Source organism: Homo sapiens, chromosome 6, assembly GCF_000001405.40.
Source record: "Homo sapiens chromosome 6, GRCh38.p14 Primary Assembly".
Taxonomy (NCBI): domain Eukaryota; kingdom Metazoa; phylum Chordata; class Mammalia; order Primates; family Hominidae; genus Homo; species Homo sapiens.
The window spans coordinates 26,629,427-26,634,382 of NC_000006.12; the positions used below are offsets into that span (position 1 = coordinate 26,629,427).

The 4,956-nt window shown below is 40.7% G+C and overlaps 1 pseudogene; it reads right to left on the reverse strand.

Annotated features, from left to right (window-relative positions):
• On the reverse strand, positions 1,659-2,310 carry VN1R14P (vomeronasal 1 receptor 14 pseudogene; annotated as a pseudogene).

Below are 4,956 nucleotides of genomic sequence, written 5' to 3' on the forward strand. Positions count from 1 at the left end.
GTAAATCACTTACCATTATTGTTTCATATATTGTATATTTGTTAATATACACCTACCTAGTGATATCATCTCTCCTCATCATTTCTGCATTTCTCTTTCTTGGAAACATATATGTAAGTGTAAAGAGATTGTGCAACTGTATTTCTACATCTTACCAAATATTACTTAATATTTTTATGTGCATATGTATCAAATGTCTGTAGAAGGACACATGACAATGTGATAACACTGTCTTTGGAAAGGAATTAAGTGACTAGATTTAAGTAAGGATGATCAAAGGAGACGTTTTAAATGTAATGTTTCAAAATTTTTAACCTTTAAATGTTGAGATAAATGTGGATTCACATGCAGTTGTAAGAAATCATACAGAGAAATCCCAGTTTCTTCCAATGATAACCACTATTTTGCAAAATTAGTACAATCATACAACCTGGATATTGACAATGATACAGCCAAGCTACAGAACATTTCTATCACCCCATGGATACATCATGTATCCTTGGATAACTACACCTACCTCACTCCCCAACCCTTATACATGACAACCACTAAGCTGTTCATTTCTATAATTTATCATTTTAAGAATGTTATAAATGGAATCATACAGTATATAAACTTTAGTATTGGCTTTTTTCACTCAGAACAATTATTTTAATTTTCTTACTAGTAGATATTATTTTCCTGCTTGAGGAATTATGATTTATTTTTCTAAGGACAAGACAATATGGATGATCAGGGTTTTTTTGTTTGTTTTTTTGAGATGGAGTTTTGCTCTTGTTGCCCAGGCTGGAGTGCAATGGAGTGATCTCGGCTCACCGCAACCTCTGCCTCCCGGGTTCAAGCGATTCTCCTGCCTCAGCCTCCCAAGTAGCTGGGATTACAGGCATGCGCCACCATGCCCACCTAATTTTATATTCTTAGTAGGGATGGGGTTTCTCCATGTTGGTCAGGCTGGCCTTGAATTCCTGACCTCAGGTGATCCGCCCACCTCGGCCTCTCAAAGTGCTGGATTATAGGTTTGAGCCACTGTGTCTGGCCTGGATGATCAGGTTTTATTCTTTATTAGTTGAGATAATTATATTTGTAATTGAATTATGATTATTGAACTGCATTCTTTTTGGTTGTTGATTTCTCATTTTCTCAAAGCAGATGCCCAAAATCTGTGGAGGTGGTTGTCATTGCAAAGAAGTACCACAGGGCTTAAAAAGGCAAAGTTCACCCCAATGAACTTCTTAGTATTCAAAAACAGGTTCAGTTTTTGAAAAATAACCTAGACTGAAGGAAACAATCATATCAAGCCCACAGGAAAAAATGAAGCACAGGGTCAAAATGATCGTCTCTTTAGTTGCTTTCATCCCAGGGCTTTTTTTTCTTGGAGATGGAGTTTCACTCCTGTTACCCAGGCTGGAGTGCAATGGTGCGATCTCGGCTCACTGCAACCTTTGCCTCCCGGGTTCAAGTGATTATCCTGCCTCAGCCTCCCGAGTAGCTGGGATACAGGCATGCACCACCACGCCCAGCTAATTTTGTATTTTTAGTAGAGATGGGGTTTCTCCATGTTGGTCAGGTTGGTCTCGAACTCTCAACCTCAGGTGATCCGCCTGCCTCAGCCTCCCAAAGTGCTGGGATTACAGGCCTGAACCACCGCGCCCGGCCCCAGGGTTCATTTTGAATTAGGGGCCCGACCTGTGAAGGTGCTGTATTTGCTCGTGATGTCTGTAGAGGGGATGCATCCTATACCCACTCGTCCAGCACATAAAACCCAGGAGGGGAAACGTCATGAATGTGAAATGCCATGAACGTGAGAAAGAATCACCTAATAAAATTATCCGTTAGCAAAACAGAGCAAGATTTCACAATGTATCTGGATACAGTCTCATTCTTGAGGGCTGTAATTGAGATAAAATTAAGTTGGAAAATATGAGTAAATTAAATTAAGAATTCAAACAAAAAGGAGTAAAGGGCACACAATGGTTTTCTGGTTTTGAGCACTGATCAATAGGGGTTACAAAGGCCAATGATGATGGCATAAAGAATGCTTAAGTGGCTTGTCTAACAGATGGAAAGGCCACGTGACACTGTGTAGCTATTTGTCTTAAAAATAACATAATGTATGAGAGTTCTCAAGACCAAAGCTTAAGAATCCTTGGGGATTCCTATAATACAAGCCACTAACATGTGGACCAATGAGAAGTGGGTTATTAGTAGGCATATGGGCCTCTGCTTGAGACTCACAATGAAAATATGAGCATAGCTCACAAAGAGAATGGCATTCCCCATGACATCAAGTCTAGCTTAGAAAAGAAAAGCGGGCAGGTGCAGTGGCTTAGTTCTGTAATCCCAGCACTTTGGAAGGCTGAGGTGGGCAGATCACTTCAGCTTGGGCTCAGGAGTTCAAGTCCAGCTGGACAACATAGTGAAAACCCCATCTCTACAAAAATTAGCTGGGTGTGGTGACTTGTCCCTGTAGTCCCAGCTACTCAGGAGGCTGAGGTGGGAGAATGGCTGGAGCCTAGGAGGTGAAAGTTGCAGTAAGCAGAGACTGCACCACGGTACTCCAGCCTGGGCAACAGACACACACCTTGTCTCAAAAAATAAATACAATAAATAAAATAAAATAAAACAATTGCCAGGATGCCATGTGTTGAAATCAATCCAACACTTTATAAGCTGCGTAACTGCAGGATCAACTTCTATAACCTGTTTTTTAAAATTCTGCAATTTAGTGATTATTACCTGTGAGGACTAAACTCCAGTTTTTTATCCTGCCTAAATTCCTATCTAAGGGGTTTGGAGAGTCATGCCCTGAAAATCATAAATTCTCATCAGATGGGTTTTATTTAACCCTATAGATTGTGACTTACTTTCCAAACTGACTCTGCTGTATGGTTAACTTCTAGGTTTTTATTTGGTGGAGAAGATTGCTCTTGTCACTTTGGAGTCTCATGCATTTGAGTTCAATTGGAACTGAGCTAAGTGTGTATGTTACAATGGCATTTGTATTATTTAGCAGCATTTGCAGCCCACCTCCATTTCCTAAATCCATTTGTCACACTCTTAGACTGGTCTGTGTTCTTGCATCTGGGAAAGGAGATAGCAGAAAGTAGCAAAATGGGTACTGGGTTTTTTGTTTGTTTGTTTGTTTGTTTTTTGTAGCTCTTGAGTTTCAGAAGCAGAACCTATTACAGCAATGAAGGGGCCACAAAGTCAGTACTCTAAGGGAAAACAATCATACAACTCAATCTTTATGCCATTTGGCTTGAGTTTTTTTGTTTTTTTTTTTCCAGATAGGGTCTGGCTCTGTCACCCAGGCTGGAGAGCAGTGGCACAATCTCAGCTTTCTGCAGCCTCTACCTCCTGGGCACAAGCGATCCTGCCACCTCAGCCTCCAGAGTAGCTAGGACTACAGGTGGGCACTACCATGCCTGGCTAATTTTTGTAGAGACAGGGTCTTGCCAGTCTGGTCTCTAACTCCTGAGCTCAAGCAATCCGCCTGCCTCCACTTCCCAAAGTACTGGGTTACAGGTATAAGCCACCGTGTTTGGCTTCATTCTGCTTGAGTCTAAGTGTCTAAGTGTTTGCATCAAGTGTCTTAGATACATAAATGCCACCACTTAAAAATCTTAATTATTTTTTCCTGCTTTTCCTAGTAACTGTCCTGTCTAGGGGACTACCTTTTTTATTAGCTTTTTCAAAGAATAATAAGGTGTTGGTTTTACTGATTCTCTGCATTATCTTTTTGTTATTTTCTATTAACTTTCCTGTCTAGGGGACTATCTTTTTTATTAGCTTTTTCAAAGAATAAGGTGTTGGCCAGGATGGTCTCCATCTCTTGACCTCGTGATCCACCCGCCTCAGCCTCCCAAAGTGCTGGGATTACAGGCGTGAGCCACTGCGTCTGGCCTACCCCAACTTTTTAAGTTTCCTTTGCCAGATGGAAGGATTCCCTCTGCAAGTGTTAACTGCTTTCAGCTTCTCTCACTCATTTAAAATCCAAATCCCTGCCTGGGGAAAGTGATGACACAAGCTGATGTTTCAGGGACAAAGAAGCTTCAATTGCACTATGAGTTTCTTTTCTCAATAAACAATGTAAAGACCATTTCAAGAAACACTTGCGGTGTGTGCGCTGGATAGCACTTTTCCCTGTCTACTTCACCAGAGACACTGAAGCACACATCATTTCTCTTTCAGTTACTTCTGGGGGTCACGGTTATTATTTTTCCCAGAAATATTTCTCACAACAGTCCACTTCAATGTTGGGAGTAGTATCACTTTAAGTTAGAAAAATAAGCATGAAGGCTGCAAGTCTTGTTCTACCTACACAACTCTATATGAATCTCAGGAGGAAAAAACAAACTTAAAGCTGTACCTTTTCCCTTCCCTGTTTCATCCACATCATACCTCCTTCTTATCCTCTTCTCACAATGAAAGCCACTTAAAACTCTGGCATCTACTCTGTTGGTAGAGCAGACAGACATAAACTAGGACAAACTTTATAATGGTGGGTAAATTAGAGCAACTATTTTTATACCATCTCCATCCCACTCTAATTCAACAAATAAGACCAAGAGGGAAGAATTGGAACCAAATGTGGATTTCACTAGGAATTATAAATGTAAAATCTTCCCTAATTTTGAGGGGGTCACTCACACAAAAAAACCATAGATGGTTTTGCTGCTAATGAATTTCAGCAGGGCCTCAAACATGGTCAGTTCAAACTATTAGCCCCATTTATGGAATGTGGTGCAGAGGTTCCAAAAGGATGCAATGTCCACAGCGGAGCATAGACAATATTCCTTCTGTTCCTCTCTGCCTCGGCATCCAAAATTGCTGGAATTATAGAGATGGTCCAGTGGTTATCTCTACCTCCATGTCTAAGTATCACATTATTAACCACTTCATTCTAATCCAAGTGTAGAGGAAATGCTGTTTCTCTCAGTACAGTGGAGACGGAAA